Source organism: Homo sapiens, chromosome 8, assembly GCF_000001405.40.
Source record: "Homo sapiens chromosome 8, GRCh38.p14 Primary Assembly".
Lineage (NCBI taxonomy): Eukaryota > Metazoa > Chordata > Mammalia > Primates > Hominidae > Homo > Homo sapiens.
The window spans coordinates 438,811-460,245 of record NC_000008.11 but is presented as its reverse complement, the minus strand read 5'-3'; the positions used below and the strand labels follow the sequence as shown (position 1 = coordinate 460,245).

At 44.0% G+C, this 21,435-nt stretch overlaps 1 protein-coding gene across 12 annotated transcripts in view; it reads right to left on the bottom strand.

Moving 5' to 3' along the window:
* FBXO25 (F-box protein 25) overlaps positions 1-21,435 on the bottom strand; it is a 71,010-nt gene that overhangs the window by 17,722 nt on the left and 31,853 nt on the right. For all 12 annotated transcript variants that reach the window (XM_047421684.1, NM_183421.2, NM_183420.2 and 9 more), the window contains 3 exons: positions 10,163-10,256; positions 8,793-8,977; positions 1,695-1,877 (listed from right to left, as the gene is read on the bottom strand). In XM_047421684.1, the coding sequence (XP_047277640.1) occupies positions 1,695-1,877; positions 8,793-8,977; positions 10,163-10,256 (462 nt within the window). The remainder of the gene's footprint in view (positions 1-1,694; positions 1,878-8,792; positions 8,978-10,162; positions 10,257-21,435) is intronic.

Below are 21,435 nucleotides of genomic sequence, written 5' to 3'. Positions count from 1 at the left end.
CCAAAAGACATCCTTAAGTATGTTTAGGGTCTAGATGTATAAACACCTGCCAGGCACTCTCATTAACGCCTTTTGGGAACAGCTCGGGCCTGCACGTGATAGGGAGTGTCCCAGGGCAAACTGGGAGGCAGAGGGCTCATCCCAGGCAACCTTCATTTACCTCTTTTCCTAGGATCTAAATCCTCCACACAAAATTCTATCCACCCCCTCCCCCATGCCCAATGCTGACTTAAAATTCAATCTACTGTTCTCCTACTCAAATTAATACTGGAATTCTTTTGCTTCTCCCGAACAAGTCCACTTGAGAGAGTTTTCCCCAAGGCATCCATAACCTCTGCTCGGCTAAATCTCACAGGCTTTTCTTTGTCCTATTAATCTCTCTGTCCATGGCCTTGAGAGTCCAGCTCCCCCCAGGTTCTGGGGCACCTCATTCTATCCCTCAACATTGGGGTTGGTGCCCTGAGGCCCTGCCCAGGCTGATCCCGTTGCCTCCTGTCCTCTCCATATGCATCTGTCTAGGCCCTAGCTCCACATACCTCTCAGACACACTCCGTGAGGCCCATGTTCAGGCCAGCCCCTTCCTGTGGCAGCCCCCATCCCATCGGGGTCATCTTCTGATGTCTTCCCTGTTGCCCTTGTGCACTTCCTTGCCCATAACTCTTATTTTCCTGAGGCAGGATCCTCATGGATCCTCTTGTATCCACTCCAGCCTAGTCCTCAAACAAGAACAGAGGCTCTTCTGAAAGCTGCAATTCCATGTGCTTTGCTGGCTCCCCTGAGCTCACAGGACACAGACAAGGATTCTTAGTGTAGCTCGGCCTCTGCCGTGCTTCCTCACTATCCACCAAACACACAGCACCCTCCCCATGCTAGGGTCCGGCTCTCTGCCTAGGCCCTGTCGACTGCCCTGCATTCCAAGGGTAGGCTATGCTCCTCATGAAAGGCACCCAGTCCCATCCTAGGTCTTCAAGGTGCTGACCACAGTTCAAATCACACCCCACGAGGAGCACAACATGCCTCCCTCCAGCCACCTGCCTTCTCTGGCTGCGACCAGCCCTGTGCAGAGCAGGTGCCTTGGACATCTGTGGGGTGACGAGGGGAACCCCCAGTTTCTGCAGAGGCCCAGGAACAGGGACCACAGGGTCTCATCGTGGATGAGGAATAAGCAGACCACCCTGCAAAGGCCTCAAGGAGTGACAGCAGAACACACCTTCTGCTGCCCCACGTGCACTCCCAAGTGCAGCACACAAGGCAGGGGGGAGGGGCTGTGGACACTCAGGAGCGGCATCTACCGAGTGCTGAGAGACTGAGGCACACAGAGGGCACCTGACTTTTCAAGGATGTGCAGCTTGGTCAAAAGAACTGGAATCTGATTCATCAAATCAGGAGAAAAGGCAGTGAGCCAGGGACTCTATGCACCTCGTTATCAACAGGAGAGAAAAGAACTCAGTTCTTGCTTTGCTGTTCAGTTTTGGGTTATTTTTAGAGTCATGGTTCTATTCAATATGAAAAATAAACCTTACATTCTATAGGAGAGAACCCACAGCAATCTCAATAAACTCTGATTGTTCCTGGTTCTTTAAAAGTAGAAAATACTCAGCCATTCTTTCTCTCCAGGTGAGTTTATAGGGTATGGCCCCCAGGCAGAGTCTATAAACTCCCAGCCTGAGGGGAGACTGCTGCATCCCACTCACCTGCTTTTCAGCAAAATGGTACTGACAAAGCTTCTTCCACAGCTGTCTGTCTTCACTAAGCATATACAACGTGGGGGTCACCTGGCCTAAGGTGATGATGTCCCATCCGTCTGAGAACCGGTATAGGATGTTGTTCAGCATGTGCAGAGGAAGGTCACTGAGGGTGAGGCCATTGTTCACTTGCTGAAAGGAAAACACAACAGCAACTCACTGAGAAGATGGCCAATGTTTGTTCACACAGTAACTGAAGAGTCAAGCTGGAATGAATGCTTCAAAACATGGTAACACAAAAAGAGCTCTCCATGTCATGCGTCGCAAGGTGTCAAGGGGCCTGCATCCACCACCGTGGGGAAGGCTGGAGGAGGAGAGCAAGAGAGGGCTGCACAGCGTGACAGAACCAGGCTGTTCCTGGGTGAGGCCCTACTGCTGCACCTCCCCATGCGACAGGTGTGCGTCAGCATCAGGAGGTCAGTACTCCTCTACTGCATCAAGACGCACCTGGAGAAGGGCAGCGTCTGTGGATGTGGCGCTGCTGCCTAGATGAATCCAATGCACCATGAGGGCAACATGACACCCATCACCAGCAGGGGGCAGGGCCTGTGCCACACCACTGGGTGGCCTGGACAGCCCCTAGGCCTTTATGGGTCACAGCTGGTCACCCCAGTGATGAGGGAGGTTGACCACATCGTCTGCAAAGCTCCTTCTAGCTTTGTGGGGTTTTTTTCTTTATTGAGGTGTAACTGATAAATGCAATCTGTCTACATTGGCAGCATGTGGTGTTCTGTGCTTGTATGCGTTATGAACCGATGGCCACAGCCCAGCTCACTGTCCATCACCTCAAGTCATAATCCTTTTATTTTTGTGGTGAGAACATGTAAGATCTACTCTTAGCAAATTTGAAGTAAAGGATGTATAATTATTAACTGCAGTCATCATGCTGTGTAGACAACCTCCACAATGGACTCCTCCTGCACTACAGAAACCTTTCACCCTCCATCCAACATCCCCCCACCTTCCAGCTTTACATTTCTATGACTTCAAGTTTACAAACCATTTCTCCCTCACACACGCCAGAGAGTAAATGCAATGCATCTGCCCTCAGAAGATACATGTGTGTGCACGTGCCAGGCTGAGGAAGGGTGGCTGTCCTTGGCCCCAAGAAGTGGGCTGAATCAGTTCAAAAACTAAACTCTGCTCTGAGGTTGACCTGAGACAGCCCTGGATTGGGTTTGAGCTCAAACTGTTTCAGACTTTTCAGGGCTCAGTTGTATCTAAATAAATCCCTTCATTCTCACTAGAAACACGTCTTCCTGACAGTGGGGTTCTGGCTGTTTGGGCGGGACAGAGGCTACCTGGTCCCGCCTCAGCTCCTGACCCCAGTCTGGGGTGGCGCTTCTGTCGTGTGCTCACCTGCGAGCTTCTGATTTGTGTTTTCCTTTTGTTCCCAATAGGTCGATGTATGTACTTGGCCACAAGGAGAGCTAGCTTCCTTCTGATGTGTCGTGGCTTTCTATAATCCTACTGCACACAAAGCACAGTGACCATCTATTTTTGGCTAGACTGAGCTAATTCCATGAGTTTGGTTCTCAAAATCACCTGACCTCTGTGGAGAGTGGAGCGTAGGGAGAGGTGACTGGGGCACCCGTGCCTTGACACCCCACTTTCTTCTCCTGCTCCCCTATAATGTCCTCGCTATGGAAGCACCTTCCTGGGACTTCAGAATGGAAACTGCTGCAGGGCCCTTCTCATGCATCCCAGTGGGCAGCACGAGCATGGACCGCCAGTGATGCACTCCAAGCCACTTCACCTCAAGCATCCTATGCATCTGCCAGACACGAGTGGGGCCTCAACACTGCTTGACAGTTTGTGAAGTGCTCTAACATTCTGGACATGAAGCTTTCATGGACTGCACTAGTGTGCTGTCCTGCCCTGTCTGTACACACGTTTTTTGCTCCTACAGCTGATGGGACCCACGCATAGGGCAGATGTCAGCCCTGTTGTAGGCTATGGAGCTGCACAGTCCAAGAGACATCACTTCCCCAGCAGCCAGCATGGTCCCCGCAGGCTCTCAGTAAACGTCTTTGCTCATTACTGACGAATGTTTGATTCAAGTCTTAGCCCATCCTTCCATCTTTATCGTCTAGCATATGGCAGAGAGCACATAGAAAAGAGAATATGGCCAGGCCGGGTGGCTCACGCCTATAATCCCAGCCACCCAGGAGGCTGAGGTGGGAGGATCACCTGAGCCCAGGAGTTAAAGGCTGCAGTGAGCTATGACTGAACCACTGCACTCCAGCCTGGGCAACAGAGCAAGACCCTATCTCAAAGACAAAAACAAAACAAAACAAAAAGATAACGTGCAAGTAAATTAACCCCTAACTAAAAGTCTAACACTCTCACAAGAATTATGTCTTCCAGGTGCTTCATTCTAATTCCTACTGAGAAAAATTTCTGTAGCAGACAGTAGTTTACAAATATTCTGCTGCTAAAATTACAAACTTTAAAGGTAGCATGAAGTGGTGGTATGAAGGTAGTACGAAGAAAAAAAATCCCGGATTAGTAGAGTTATAGAGTCTGGTGTGACAACTCAGCATTTGGGATTTCTGGCAGAGTCCAGTTTTACATCCCTGTTAATGGCTATAACAAGAGGGTGTCGCAGAAATGCCAGCACTTCTCATCCAAACGAAATCTCGAAATGTGACAAGGCACAAAAGTCTTGCTGAACATGTCAGAAATCCTGCTGCGTTTTTTGCTGCACTTCCTCCACTGATTAGCTACATGCTCTCTGCCATCATGAAATCTCTCACACCTACACTGCACTGGAAGGAAGAAACGATGCTGCTGCTTCTCTTGCTTTAGGATAGTCTCAGCTATTGCATGCAACTGTCAATGATTCCCACTTCTCTGTGGAAGCACTTCTGCTAACAGAAACTTGTGTTGCTATTATCATTCTATTTTACACAGAAAAAAAACAGAGATACAGATGAGTTGACTGGCTTGCCCAAGATCGAGGTCCAGCCTCGAGCCCAGTCTGCCTGGCCCCAAGTCCGTGTTCCCAACTGCTCTGCCCTTCTCCATGGGAGGCCCATCCCCTCAATATGTGGTGAGTCACTGAAGTCTCCCTCAATTCTTCCTTCCCTCGCACCCACTTCAAAGTCACCAGTCTACTCTTTTGCTCAAGTATCCCCAAGTTCATTCTTCCCATTTCACTGTCACTGCTCATGAATGCAATGAGGGTTTACTTCCCTCCAACCTGGCTGGTCCCTGCCTGGCACTGAAGGGGACCTCTAAACAAGGACCTTTCAATGACCCTTGGCAGAGAGCAGCAAAGGCTCTGCAATGCCCACAAAGCCCTGAGTCTGGTCCTAATCCCCTGCACCTTCCTCCAAGCAGTCCACACATTTGGCATAACACACTTTATTAGCCCCTGGATGCGGAAGTTCCCATACCTTCTCACAGGAGTCAATTCTGCAACTTCTGGGAATTTCGTTAGCCAGTTTACTTTTTGTTGGTGGCTTGAAGTCAGTCATAGTGGGAAGCTGACAAAGGCTACAAATCAAACCTCTTGCCCCTGGAGAGCCAGTTGTTAAGCACTGACCAGGAGGCCATCACCTGGATACTCTCCCCTCATTCTTTGTTTTCTTTTTCTTTTTCTTTTTTTGAGATGGAGTCTCCCTCTGTCACCCAGGCTGGAGTGCAGTGGTGTGATCTCAGTTCACTGCAACCTCTGCTTCCTGGGTTCAAGCAATTCTCCTGCCTCAGCCTCCCAAGTAGCTGGGACCACAGGCACGTCCCACCACGCCCGGCTAATTTTTTGTATTTTTAGTAGAGATGGGATTTCACCGTGTTAGCCAGCATGGTCTCTATCTCTTGACCTTGTGATCTGCCCACCTCGGCCTCCCAAAGTGCTGGGACTACTGGCGTGAGCCATCGCGCCCGGCCCATTCTTTAAGCTCCACCTAAAACATCACATCACTTGTGAACCAATGTAATGTCAACAGCCCTGTGTGCATATCTGTTATAACACCCCACTGAGTTCTGTGACACATCATGTGCTCATCTCCCTGGGTCCCTCGGAGGCCCCATGCTAAAGGCTACGCCTGCTGATCCATGTGTCCCACCTCATGATGGGCCCAGCGAGCACATGGGGGCATCTAGGAAGTGCTGACGGGGTGAGGAAGCATGTGAACACATACCTGTGTGCCTGCTCTCACTGAGTCACAGAGATGTGCACATGAAAGCACTTCCAATTCATTAGCACTGCCATATCTTCAAATGCAGCTTAAACAGCAAAGTATATTTGTTTCACAAGAAAAAAAATTTCTGATGTTCTTAGGAACTTTACAACACAAATATATACTAAATTTCTGCTTACTTTTGGGACTATGAGTATTTAGATTTAAGGGGTGTCGAGGTATTTCTTTTTTGAGACGGAGTTTCACTCTTGTCGCCCACGCTGGAGTGCAATGGCACGATCTCGGCTCACTGCAACCTCCACCTCCCGGGTTCAAGCAAATCCCCTGCCTTAGCCTCCCGAGTAGCTGTGACTACAGGTACCTGCCACCACACCTGGCCAATTTTTGTATTTTTAGTAAAGACAGCGTTTCACCATGCTGGCCAGGCTGGTCTCGAACTCCTGACCTCAGGTGATCCACCTGACTTGGCCTCCCAAAGTGGCTGGGATTACAGGTGTGGGCCACCGCGCCCGGCCAGGGGTGTCAAGGTATTTCTTGTTGGGATAATCTAGAAGACAAAGACAACTGTCAGCTCACTGGAGAAAGCTGGCCCTATATCCTGAGGCTGACATGGCGGAACTTCAGGCGGTGTGCTTGGACTTCCACTCTCAGGGATCCGGGAAGGCTCTCAGCTGCTCTGTTCTAACCCCATCTGCTTGAGTCACCTCAAAATTCACGTGAATAAGCGGGAGGCAGCAATCCAGCATCAGCCAGCAGGTCAGGAGACCAGGTCTTTACCTTAAGCAGCCTTAGACCAATTTGGCTGACTGAGTCCGGCATCTACAAATGCAGCTCAGTTAACTGAGCTGGTAAAGTGCTCTTTCTACTGGTTTCAAGTAACATTCCCAGAAAGGTAAAACTCCTCTGGCCAACTCCTACAAGGGAACCTGACCCTCCTCGAGGCTAGAAGCAGGGCACAGGGTCCAGAAGCCAAGATCCTCACAGAGGCACATGCCAAGCTGCGTGCTCCAGAGAGCACCCAGGGACTCAGGTGAAGAGATGCCAGGCAGCATGCAACCACTAATGAAAGAGAAGAAACAAGTTCAAGGTCTCTGATGGTAAGATTTGAGTGGACATGACGAAAACTGGCACCTTTGTGTTATCATCAGCGCTTTCTTATTCCCCAAAGATTAAACATTAATTTCATTTTTGTACCTTATTTTTCCCACTTGATCAAAATGGCACTACAGTAACACCTATCCTTCTGTGCTGAGGCAGAGAGGTATTGCCACGTAAGTGTGCTCTGCCTACCAGGGCTGTAAGAACCATCCCGGGCCAAAAGCAGAGTGTCTTCCTTCACTGGCTATGGTCAGCACTGAGTGGGGCAAGCTGGGGCCACATGCACTATTATCCCTCAGCCCGTGCCTCTCCCAGGTAGTATGAATGGAAAGAAGATCCAGAAGGAAGCTCAGCATACAGCCATGCCTTCCTGCTCTGTCTCGGCCCACCCAGTCAAAGATGCAAGCTTGTCCCTTGCTTTCTCCTTTCTCTCCTCTTGGTGAGGTGTGGCCCAATCCTTGGAGCTTCGCTGTTGTCTCCACCGGTGCACATCTCTCCACTGGCTCCACATCTCTCTCCAAAGAATGCAGAGCCACTAATCCTACCTGGAACTTCCCAGCCAGACAAGAAAGGCTGCTTCCTGGTCTGGTGTTTGGCCTTTCCCAAACACCCCCTTCCTTGGGATCCTGACCATGAAAACCCACCATGGACAAGGACACACCCTATTCTCTCCCCAGAAGGTCACCTGCTGAACATCACTACCACGGATCTGCCTCATCAGGAGAAAGGGGACTTTGGCCATGTGGCCTCGCCACTCATGTTAGGACTTCTACAGCAAGCCCCATGCCATGCATAAGTGTCTTACAGATGGACTTTTAGCACAACCCACCTATGCATGGGGAACGCAGTAAAAGAGGCAGCGAAGAGCCAGCCTGTGCAAAGCTTTGAATGACTGTAGGGTCACACCAAGACAACAACAGAACAAAGAATCCAACGTTTATAACAAACTTGCTTAACTCTTACTGACGCTGAATGTTACATTATTAAGGATAATTTCAGACTCATAACTAGGCAATCATCACTCTTTTTGTAAATCCCATATTTAGATGGCAAATAAACAGCCAAAAGTTAAGGCATTCAAAGGGCACTTGAAAACCATTCCTTTATGTGAAAACTGGGGTGCTGTGATAAAAGGTAACTAGGATCTTAGCAGTGCAATCTGCAGAATCATTTATACCACCAAGGCTACGTAAGGCACACCGCTAAGATATATCTTCGGTTTATTCTTTTTCTTATGAGTACTAGAGTTAAATAAAACACTATCTAAATACTCGGGGCAATGGTGTTAACATTATTCTTGTTGAAACTAGTTACCAGAATAAAGAAAAAATATCAAAAAAACTGACATGATTTGCACCTTCTTTTGGCCTTGTTCACTGTTGCTAAGAACTATAAACACATCCCCAAAAAAGACAGCAAGGAAGAAGACAAAAAGTTACTAACTTGGGAGAAGCAACAACTAAATAAATAGAGAATTACTGGCAACACAATTTAGCCTTAATTTACTGAATGTTATTCTAATAACTGAAATATTCAGTTTCCCATGAAGGTAAATTTATTTACATCTAATCACCCATAGGATCAGCCTGGTTTGATGATTGCTATTCCCACTGTCTTTCCAATAGCAACTATAAGCCATTGGGGTCTTTGGTCCTTTTCTATTTTAAAACAATTTAATGAATACTTATGAAAGCATTAGAAAATCTTTCAAAAAGCTATAGCAGTCTTTCATGTATGCTTAGAAAAGATAACTTCTGTAATATAAAAACAGAGTGTAATAACTCTTATGCCGAGATATTTATACCTTAGTCATCTGAAGATCCTGTAGCTGTTGTTGCCAGGCGAGAATAGTTTCTAATCGGCAAATCCAAATATTGATGTTTCCCACTAATACAGACTTCCCTACTCCTCTAATAAGAATGCAGAGGGTAGAGCTTAGGTCTTGCAGAAGATCTTTGATTAAGCGAGGATTGTGGTGGTCATCAAGAACTGGAATAAATAAAAATAAAACTATGGATTGATACAGTTAAGCAACACTTTAAAAAAAGATCTAGTTTCATAACCCAAATGTCCACTGATAGACGAACAGACAAACAACGTGTGATCTATACATGCAATAGAATATTATTCAGCCCTAAAAAGGAGGGAAATTCTCACACATATTCAGCATGGATGAACCCTGAAGACATTATGCAAAGTGAAATAAGCTAGCTACAAAAGGACAAATATATATCTCCACTTACATGAGGCACCCACTTACATAAGGCACTTACATGAGTAGTCAAACTCGTAGAGACAGAAAGTAGAATGATAATTACCAGGGGCTGGTGGGGAGGAGGAATGGGGACTCAGTGTTTAAGGTGGTATGAGTTTCAGTTTGGGACAATGAAGAGGTTCTGGAGATGACTGGTGGTGATGGGTGCACAGTAATATACACACACTTAATGCCGCTGAACTGTATGCTTAAAAACTGCTAAAATGGTAAATTTTATGTAATGTGTATTTTACCACAATAAAAAGATGTAATTTCACTGCAACCCAAAAGTGACATCATTTTTGAGATATCACAAATATGAGATTTCTTAAAACTTTAAAATTTTATCTGATAAATTTTCAGTTGGGTCTACAATTTTGCCTTAAAAATGGTCAGTTTACACGTTCTTTTGTACTTATCATAAAGAGGCTACTTTAAAATGGCTTAAATATAGAGTCATATATTCCTATGCATGTATAAAGTCATGGTGTGAAATTTAAAGTTCCATTTACTAACAGCCAGTAACTTATCAAGGCAAGCTCATTAAATTAGAAAGAAAATTATTGGCTTATCTGATGCCTAAGTGAGTAAGTCACAATCCTGCTAATTTTGGAAGCATACATCTAAAATGAACTGTGATTAGCTAACCATGAAAAAGTAAAATAGCTTTTTTAAGTTGTGTGATTAGTTATTTTTCCTAATATATCCATTTGTATGCAAAAGCAACTTTAAAAAAGTAAACGGCAGTAACAGAACACTGGGAACTGGAAGGATGACCTGTATTTCTGATGTTATCACATTATTTACACAATTGTTTTTGACAGTATGTGTACTGGGTAAAGATAAAAGAAAAATCCCATCTCCTTGCACCAAATTTCTAATTAAGATTTAGAGTATTAAAAATACAGTGATCATCTTACCCTTTTGAACGATTTTATCCAAAATGTTGAAGTAATTCTTCTGTGCCACGCCACTCAATGAAGTTAACTGGGATTTTGCAATTAGCTGCAACAGCTTAAAGGAAAGACGGAAAAAAGCTGAGCGATATATATATTTAATATGGAATTACAAACCACAGTGATATAACACACATGCATGAAGATTTCTAACATGCCATCCTAAATTAAGTCACTGTATCAGTCCGAGTCCAAGTATAGGAAACAGTCACTACCCATGCAAACCTGAAGAGACCTTCATACAAGGGAGCTGAGGCAGCCGCAGCCTACAGCTCTGTCTTCTAGTCTTGCAGGCTATTCATTTAGTTAGTGGAAGCATATCTCCTCCCGGAGCCCAGGCTGCAAGAGTCTGAAATGGAGCTTTTAGCTTTCCAGCCTCTGTAGCAAAAGGGCACACCAGAAAGAGGCTAGAATGAATGGTTGGGCACTAACAAGTATTTTCACAACCTAAGCCCATACTCGCAGTTGTTTGCTGAACAGACAATCAGAAAATCAAACAGCCCTTCCATGTAGAAATTAAAAAGGAAACACAACACCAAAACTCATTGTTAAATACCATTTTGTATTTAAAAACTCATTATTAAATAGCAAATAAATTGCACTAAAATACAAAATTGTAGAATTTGTATTCTGGGAAGCCACAGTAACAAATCCCTGTGACAGAACCCACGAAGTAGAGGTCTCCTGTGGGAATGATGACCGAGGCCCTCGCCGCTGCTCCACCTGCCCCTCCAGGGATGCCCTGCTTTTCCAGTTACCCCTACTCTGATGTGCATCATGGCAGGAAAAAGTGGGCTGCTGCTTTCCTTTAATGCTTTTTGTCCCACTTTATTTTTTACTTTTCCCTAGTGTATCTTTTCATTCTTTTATTTTCAACTTTTGTAAATCTCTGTTTTAGGTGTGCTTCTTACGTACAACTTGGAGTTGGGTTTCACTTTTTGATTCAATCTGAAATCTTTTACTTTTACCAGCCTTCAGGTTATGTGTATAAAGTTATGTGTTTACATGTATAGACACAGCATGTTTGGTCTTAATTTTATGACATGTTTTTGTAGCTTTTTGAAAAACTTTGCGTTCTCTCTGTAGTTCTTCTGAAATTTAGAAATGTTTGCACTATTTTGTACTAGGGGTTACTTTTGGAATTTTAACTCTATGTAATTCCCTCTCCTTCGGAATCCTCATACAACACATCTTAGCCTGTTAGTTTACTGTTCCACATTGTGATAAAACTGCCATTCATCTTGCTCCTTCTTCCTTCCATCCCTCTCCTCTACAACTTGATTTTAGTGAATAACATCTTAGTGCCTCCCTGTGATTACAGGTGAGACAGTCAACAAACCTCTAACCACCGACCTTTTCTCCTCTGCCCTCCACTCACACTCTGCTCCGTCACCCTCAGCCACACAGCTGATGCTGCAGAGATTCACTGACATCCAGTCCGATGGACACTGTTTCTCCAGCCGAAACTGCTCATGAGAACAGTAAGTATTCCCTGAGTTCTCACATGATCAATACTGTTTGTTTGCAGACTGGATACAAAAGATGGTTTGACTGGACATAAAATTCATGGGCCATCCTTTCTTCCTGGAGGATCCCATAAGTAAGGATTACTCCACTATCTGAAGAATTTGGAGAAATTTGAAGCCACCCTGATCTTTTCCCTCAGTAAGAGACGACATGTTTGTTCAGCCATTGGGAGGTTCTTGCTTCATCTTCAGAGTTTAATAATTCCTGTAGGATATGGCACACTCATAACCTGTTCTCAGTCAACCTTCCCCAGCATAAAATTTGCCCTCTCACAATGTACACTTCCATCTATTTTTACCTGAGCAGAATTTTCCTGAACATTATCTTTAAATATTTGTTCTGTCCTTTTGTTTTGTTTTCCTGTTTGAAGATTCCAGTGATAAATATGCTGGAACCCCTCTCCCTGTTCTCTTCAGCTGTAATTTTCTTTCTAGTTCCTTTTAAACTCATGATTACGGTTTCATTCTTATTAATTTTCTCATTCGTATTATTTCCATCACCTTTTTTGTGTTTCCCAAAACATCTCTGTCTTCTCCTGGGCCCTTCCAATCCCACCTTCGCCTCTGTGGTGGTTCTCCCGGCTGCTGCCATCCTTTCTTCTGCCAACTTGACTTTGTCTCCTGCTGTCTCACTTGGTTGTACAGGTTGAGCATCCCTAATTCCAAAATCCAGAATCCTCCAAACTCTGGAACTTTTTGAGCATGGACATGATGCCACAAGTGGAAAATTCCATACTTGACCTCATGTGATGGGTTGCACAAAATTATTAAAAATACTGTATAAAATTACCTTCAGGTAATATGTATAAGGTGTATGTGAAACATACATGAATTTCATGTTTAGGCTTGTATCCCAGCCCCAAGTTATCTCATTATGTATATGTAAATATTACAAAATCTGAAAAAATCCAAAATCTAAAACACTTCCAGTTCTAAGCATTTGGGATTAAGGGATACTCAACCTCATTAAAATCTCTTTTCTGTTTTGTCGCATTCCTGCACTGGGATCTCCTGCCACAGAACTCCTTCATGAGTTTCCTGTTTTTTTCATTTATGATGAACTGTCTGCTCATGATTCCATCCTGCTTCACAGACAATTTCCTTAGAGAATATCCATGCGGTGACGGTCACCTTCTCTAACAGGCATTTCAGAGTGAGGTGGGACTTCCTAGGGCACCTGTTTTGCAGATGCCCTCAGGGTTGGGGGAAGGGCAGCTTCCAGCCTTCCCAGTTCCACCACTCTCTCCCCCAGCCGCTACCTGCATGTATGTGAATCCCTGGGAGACCCCACAGCCCATGTCCCTGAGTAAAACTGGATCCAGGAAGCCCTTTGCTGTCAGTGGTCCTCCCTGGAACTTCTGCACTCTGCAAGCTGGAGTTGAACATCTGCGACTCAGCCTCTCAGTGCACAGGGTATGTGGGGCTCGACTTCTAGACCTGGCCCTGACGAGTGCTTTTGTTAGCCTAAGCCCTTCTGCTCAGTTCCGCCTATAGTATCACTGCCCAGGCTTAGCTGCTTTTGGTAAGCCTCATGCACATTTTAGAGTCTGTGAATTGCATCTGCCTCTTATTTCTCTGAAAATGGAGTTTTTTCATCCCTTCCTTCCAATTCTCCTTCCAGCCTTTCTTGATTTCCAGAATGAGAAATCACTAAGTCACATACTGAGCCACAAATAACATTATAAATGTGACAATTACATGATAATCTTTGGGGGAAAAAACATTCTGTGATTTCTAACATATTTACATAAAAATATCTTACACTAAAACACACCAGTTGAGGGCACTGGCCAGAGATAAGATCAGGTTAGGCCAAGCAAAGCTGAGAAGACCAATGTTAAAATTTCAATCCTGTTCCTTTATCTTTTCAAATTAACTGAATATTGTTATTAAATTCCTTGTTTTAGTGTTGAATAGCACCCCTTTTCCCTGCCTCACTTTAGAATCAATTTAGAGACAAAGGATTCAGGCCAACTGAGGTTATCAGCATTATCGCTAATAATAGCTGGACTGGCGGATGCGATTCAGATTCACACAACAATGGATTTCCTAATCTGAATCCTAGACTGAGATGAAGCCAGCCAGCCGTAAGCACTGCTTAATAACCAAAGCCTCCCCAGATAGGCTTCTTGCCCTACAGCACTAAGACATGAAAGAAACAGACCAAAATGTACAAATATCTTTTATTCCTCAAAGGAAAAAGAAGAGTTACACATGCCTGTTTCTCACCAATAAGAGGGGTCAGGGCAGAGTGAGTCTGGGAGAGAGAGTTCTACCACCACGGTTCCCAAAGCATCGTCTAGGGGCCTGTTAGGGGAGCCCGAGGTCTAAACTATTTCCACAGTTTCACTAAGATATGATTTTCCTTTTCCATCCTCACATTCGTTAGTGTGCAGTGAAGTGCTCCAGAGGCCCCAGCATGCTACATTACAGAAGACTGAACTCAGGAGAGATGAGGAATAATCCCCTCCATCCCACCAGACACCAGGAGGGTGTGCCAAGGTGTGAGACATACAGTCCGACATGCTACATTATGGAAGACTGAACTCAGGAGCAGAGATGAGGAATAATCCCCTCCATCACACCAGACACCAGGAGGGTGCCAAGGTGTGAGACATACAGTCCTTACTGTTTTTTTGTTTTGTTTTGTGAGACGGAGTTTCACTCTTGTCCCCCAGGCTGGAGTGCAATGGCGCGATCTCGGCTCACTGCAACCTCTGCTTCCTGGGTTCAAGCGATTCTCTAGCCTCAGCTTCCCCAGTAGCTGGCATTATAGGTGCATGCCACCATGCCCGGTAGTTTTCTGTATGCCTGGCTAAGTTCTGTATTTTTAGTAGAGACAGGTTTCACCATGTTGGCCAGGCTGGTCTCAAACTCCTGATCTCAGGTGATCCGCCCACCTCGGCCTCCCAAAGTGCTGGGATTATAGGCGTGAGCCACTGCACCCAGCCCAGTCCTTACTTTTAAATAAATGGAGAAATATTTTTAAAAGTGTTTTAATTTCTAATGTGGCAAACATTAATAGATATAACTCACATGACCAAAATCTCTTTGGGGTCCTCAGTAATTTTAAAAAGTGAAAAGGACCCCTGAGACAACATTTGGGTTTGGAACTGCTGCTCCACTAGGGGAAGAAATACCAGAACAGAGAATATGTGTTCCCTGGGAGATAAGGTCTTCCCGACTACCTCCCCTCCTATCATCGAAATAAGTTTTCTACATTTCTTTAATATCATGTTTTAAAATTCCTTTTAAAAAGACTGAAATCAGCAGCAGAAGGCAAGGGATTAGCTTAGCACGGTCAGTTTAGACTAGTTACCCACAGAGGACTACAGAATGGACATCACGAGGCATAGGTAAGCATAGAGGTGAGAAGGGCCGTGTTCACAGTTGACAAGATTACATTTCAGGTTAAACTGGTAATTAAGATAACAGGGCGAAAGACAATTAACAAAGAAACTGTAATCATTCATAAGCCTCTAATTAGCCATAAAGCAAAGTCTGTTGGGAATTTAATGAACATTTGTTAAAAACACAAATATTGTAGGAAGTTTTTTATACAGTCATGGGTCGCTTAACAAGGGGGATACAATCTGATCCGAGAAACGCATTGCTAGGTAATTTCCTCACTGTGTGAACATCACAGAGTGTATTACACAACACCTACACAGCTAGGCTACAGACCTATACAACATATTAATGCACTGAACAGCAACTGTAACATAATGGCAAGTATCTGTATATCTAAATATATCTAAACATAGGAAAGGTACAGTAAAAAAAGGAAATAATCTTATGTGGCCACGACACTACACGCGGTCGGTCATTGACCAAAACATCGTTATGTAGTGCATGACTGCGTATCTCCTCAAATCTGACAATTCTAAACAAGTAAAGATGTGGAAGAATTAGATAAAGAGAAAGAAAGTACATCCTTCAAATAGAGAATCTGTATTTTTTTTCACACATCAATAGAATATTTATAAAAATCAATTATAAAGAAGGCCACAAAGGAAAACTTAATCATTTCAAAGAATTAGAGATCTTAAAGGCCAAACTCTCTGGTGGTAATATAATAAAACTAGAATCCAATAAAGTTAAATAAAATCACAGCTATTTGAAATTCGAGGTCCACTCCTGAACACCCTTGGATCTGGGAGTAAATTGGCACTGCATGTGTGCCTGTGCTCCTGAAGGGCCTCACATACATGGGGAAGGGCAGAGAAAGAGAAACAACAACATCCACTACCTCTATTTTTAAAGTCAGCCTTACTACAAAATACAGAAAGTATTCTTCACTGGGCAGACCAAATCAACTTTGCTCAATCTTCGCCTTTGGGTTCCTTCAGATTTATAATGAACTGTAAGCATTTACTGAGTGATTATTAGAAAGGCACCATCTGAAGTACCTGATGCCCTTTCAATGCTGTAATGCCCCTGTGAGGTAGGTCTTACTATTATCCCTGCTCTAGAGATGAGAAAACTGAGGCAGGGAGAGATGAAGAAGCTGGCCCCAAGGCCACAGCACTGAGGAGGGAGGGGCCAGACCTGAAGAGCAGGGGGATCCCACAATCTGTGCTTGTGCCTTCCTGCTCTGCTGCTTCCCAGCTAGCCTGTGTGCTGGACACAGCCCTCAGTGATCTCAACTTTGATTATCTAATTTTAAAAAGACTTCTCAAGTTTATTGTCTTTTACAAAAAAGGGATGTAATCTAGCAAGCCAAAGCAGAACCAAGCAGACTTTGTAGTTTTCATCAATTTTCTGGACGCTCCAGCCACTTTCCTCAGGTCCTTTAGCAATGTGTGGACTGCCCGCCCACCGCTGCCCCGAGGTAGGGAAGCACCACACTACAACCTCATGCAGGCTGGATTAAAACATGCCCTCCACTTCAGGCTTAGGAACCAGCGCCCCTCCTACAGCTCACAAGTTGCTCAAGCAGTGGTCTGTGAGAAGTCATTCTATTTTTGGGGTTGTCCCTTTTCTCTGCTTTTCTTGGGAACCATTTTGACTCTGTCAAATGTTCACTGACTTCTAGCACTGGCAGAAAGAACGTCTGCTTTTTTATCTGAAACTAAACTGTTACACAACTTATAATTTTATTTTGGTAAAAGCATTCTTAGTTGCTGTGTTTAGTCATACTCTACAAATTATCTTGTTGGTAGGATAAATATGGTGAGAATTAAAGAAAAATGAAGATGGTAGTGGATATTTGCAGACTATTATCAATACCGGCATTTCAAACTTCCAATATAATTCGGATACTTGCCTGGAGGACAAACTTTTTTTGGCATGCCGTATAATGAGGAGCCTTATATTCCCAGTGTGCTCAAACTGCCCTGACACCACCTATCCACCGTCGTCAGCAATCTATGTTCAATTTTTCTTAAAAACATCAGTTACAAGGTCAAATTTAATTCAACTGAGGTCAGACTCTCAGCGGAGCTGAGGAGCACTTCCTTCAATGGAAATGGCCATTTCTGAGTGGTGACAACACTGTCATTTCTTGGACCTTCTTTAACAAATCTGTTCTCAGGAGCGTTAACATACTTTGCTAATACACTTTAATCCGGCATTTTTATGGGGGTAATTATAGGAAATGCCTGGAATTAAATAGCCTACAACCAATTCTTGGATCGACAATTAGGAAAACTGAAAAATATACATGTAAATATATCTTTTTCTGTATAAGAAAAGTCTTGCTTAGGAAATTAGAAGATATCTTTGTGTAGAATCTTTTTATAAAGTGGAAATAGGCTGGGCAGGGTGGCTAACGCCTGAAATCCTAGCACTTTGGGAGGCCGAGGCAGCCAGATCACCTGAGGTCAGGAGTTCAAGACCAGCCTGACCCATACGGCAAAACCCCCTCTCTACTAAAATTACAAAAATTAGCCAGGCGTGGTGGCAGGTGCCTGAAATCCCAGCTACTCGGGAAGCTGAGGCAGGAGAATCGCTTGAACCCGGGGGGCGGAAGTTGCAGTGGGCCAAGATTATGCCACTGCACTCCAGCCTGGGCGACAAAGCGACTCTGTCTCAGAAAAATACAAAATAAAAAACTAAAGTGGAAATAACTTCCTCTGCTTCTTTCTAACTATGCAGTTTGCTTGAAGAAAAAAAAAAGTAACCTGTAGGTGCAGTACAACTATCAGCAAAAATGTAATTATCTTAGAGTATCTTAATAGTTCCTACTTCAAGTAGAACTTATGAAGGAGTTTAACTGTGGTAAAAAAAAAAAAATAATTGGAGTAACTTAAAAACATTTATGTATACAATAGTTGGTTTGTATGCTCAGTCACTCATTCATTTTAGGAATAACAAGTGCCTACTACTTGCCAGGTGCTTGGGATATAGCAGGGCCTACTGAATAAATTATTATACAACAGTAAATTAGCATTGGATTGTGTTGCTTAAAACAACACTCACCAGAGCAAACAAAAGCCTGATTAGCAATATGATCTGAAATTTTAAAAACAGCCCTTTTCAACAGTTCCATCTAATTTGCCAGGTCATTATTTTATAATGTCATGTGGGATTGCTGGGTCAAATAGTATCTCTGGTTCTAGATCCTTGAGGAATCACCACACTGTCTTCCACAGTGGTTGAACTTATACTCCCACCAACAGTGTAAAAGCATTCCTATTTCTCCACGTCCTCTCCAGCATCTGTTGTTTCCTGACTTTTTAATGATAGCCATCCTAACTGGTGTGAGATGGTATGTCATTGTGGTTTTGATTTGCATTTCTCTAATGACCAGAGATGAGCTTTTCTTCATGTTTGTTGGCTGCATAAATTTCTTGTTTTGAGAAGTGTCTGTTCATATCCTTTACCCACTTTTTGATGGGGTTGTTTTTTTCTTGTAAATTTGTTTAAGTTCTTTGTAGATTCTGGATGTTAGCCCTTTGTCAGATGGATAGATTGCAAAAATTTTCTCCCATTCTGTAGGTTGCCTCTTCGCTGTGATAACAGTTTCTTTTGCTATGCAGAAGCTTTTTAGTTTAATTAGATCCCATTTGTCAATTTTGGCTTTTGTTGCCATTGCTTTTGGTGTTTTAGACATCAAGTCTTTGCCCATGCCTATGTCCTGAATGGTACTGCCTAGCTTTTCTTGTAGGGTTTTTATGGTTTTAGGTCTTATGTTTAAGTCTTTAATCCATCTTGAGTTAATTTTTGTATAAAGGTGTAAGGAAGCGGTCCAGTTTCAGTTTTTTGCATATGGCTAGCCAGTTTTTCCAACACCATTTATTAAATAGGGAATCCTTTAGCCATTGCTTGTTTTTGTCAGGTTTGTGAAAGATCAGATGGTTGTAGACGTGTGGCGTTATTTCTGAGGCCTCTGTTCTGTTCCATTGGTCTATATATCTGTTTTGGTACCAGTATCATGCTGTTTTGGTTACTGTAGCCTTGTAATATAGTCTGAAGTCAGGTAGTATGATGAAAAGATTATAAATCATTCTACTATAAAGACACACGCACACGTATGTTTATTGCAGCACTGTTCACAATAGCAAAGACTTGGAACCAACCCAAATGCCCATCAGTGATAGACTGGATAAAGGAAATGTGGCACATATACACCATGGAATACTATGCAGTCATAAAAAAGGATGAGTTCATGTCCTTTGCAAGGACATGGATGAAACTGGAAACCATTATTCTCAGCAAACTAACACGAGAACAGAAAACCAAACACCACATGTTCTTATTCATAAGTGGGAGCTGAACAATGAGAACACATGGGCACAGGGAGGGGAACATCACACACCAGGGCCTGTCGGGGGGTGGGGGGCTAGGGGACAGATAGCATTAGGAGAAATACCTAATGTAGATGACGGGTTGATGGGTGCAGCAAACCACCATGGCATGTGTATACCTATGTAACAAACCTGCACATTGAGCACATGTATACCAGAACTTAAAGTATAATTTAAAAAATTTAAAAAAAAGTCATATGACGCATTTAAGAAAGTCACTTAATTTACATCAGAGGAAAATCAAAGTTTATAGACTTAGGAAATAAAGTCGTAATGAAAAAGCTCTTCACGGCTGTCAGGACAGCTACGTTTTTGGTCTCTGTCCTTGACTCCATTGTGACCTTCAGCCCATCTCTCTGGGCCCCATTTTCTTGTCTTTACCTCTTGGGTCATAAATGGATCTCCATGCAGCTGTCATCCCTCTGCCTAAATCCTCCTCAAAAGAAAATCAAAATAGTGGCTAACACAGAGTACAGACTGTTCCAAGAGCTTCCTATGATGGAACTAATCTAATCTTTCTAACAGTGCTCTGAGGTAGATGCTAAAATCTACCAGATACTATGGATGTGATGATGAAGTCATATGCTTGAGATCCCTGAGTAAATAAATAAGAAAGAGACAGAATTCCAACAACGGCTGTGTGGCTGCAGAGCCTCTCTCCCTCCCTGCCTCACCCTCGAGTCCCCGCCTGGGAGGGCTCAGGGTCACTCACTAAGCATCTTTCCCATGCGCTGCTGTGAGGCTGCTGCTATTAAGTTGCTACTATGGAGTAGTCATTAGTAGAAATTATGAAAAAATTTGAAAAAAAATCTTCATATAGCCAGAGATTCTAGCCTGAGATGTCTTTCCTTATTTGCTTATTATTATTTGTAAAAACAGGGTCTCCCTATGTTGCCCAGGCTGGCCTCAAACTCCTGGGCTCAAGTTATCCTCCTGCCTCAGCCTCCCAAAGTGCTGGGATTGCAGGCATGAGTCACCGCACCTGGCCACCTTTCCACATTTAAGAGATCCTTGGGATACTGAGAAGCAGGAGTCCATCTCCAGACATGAGGAGCAGGTGGGCTAAAGGAAACAGGACTGGGGAGTCTTGGAGGGGCAGAGCAATGCCCAGGGACACAGAAACTTTTGAATAAAGATAAGAGAGACCGACTCTTCGCCTACATCTAAAGCAAATGAAAACATAAAAATAAATGATGGCAAGAAACTAAACTAAAAATACAGTACCCCTGGAAGTATGTGACACTGGATGTGCTATCTAATTGGTCCACCACAGGCAGAGAATGAAGTACTTCAGATAATTTATCAAATAACCAAAATTAGATATATAAACTTTACGATTCTGAAAACTTTTTTCCTACAGATGTGTGTACTTTAGGAAACAGAGCATATTTAACATTTTTATAAATTTCAGTTGCACACCGTGCAGCTTTCAGGAAGCTTTCACGCCGTGCACTGCCCTGCATGGACCTCCCAAGCCTCGGGCTGTTCGTGCCTGGCTGTCAGAAGCCACCTCCTGGCTGCCAGAGGGGCGAGGGGGCAGGCTGTTCTTCTCAGTGCTATAAGCAAGCCCAGGACTCCAAGGGAATGATAACAAATGTGTAAAAACCACAGTCACATTAACCTATAGGATCAGGACCCAGTTCTACTTCCTCCAGACAGCTTTTGGGTACTGGTCTCCCTCTCTGTGTTTACAGCTGTCCTGGGTTTGCTGGGCACCTCTGAGTTCATGGAAGTGCAGCTCCTCACTGCAGTTGGGACACACTTACTCCACTTTGACAAAGGGGGTGTTGTTTTCAGCAGTGGGTGAACAGCAGTGAACAAACCAAGCCCCTGCTCCTGGGGCTCAACTGGGATGGGGACGCAGACAACTTAAACACGTGGCCACTGGCACACCTAAGGGCCAGGGAATGCTGCTGACATGATGGGGGCGGTGAGGCCAAGGTCCCAGCCAGGTAGGCTTGAG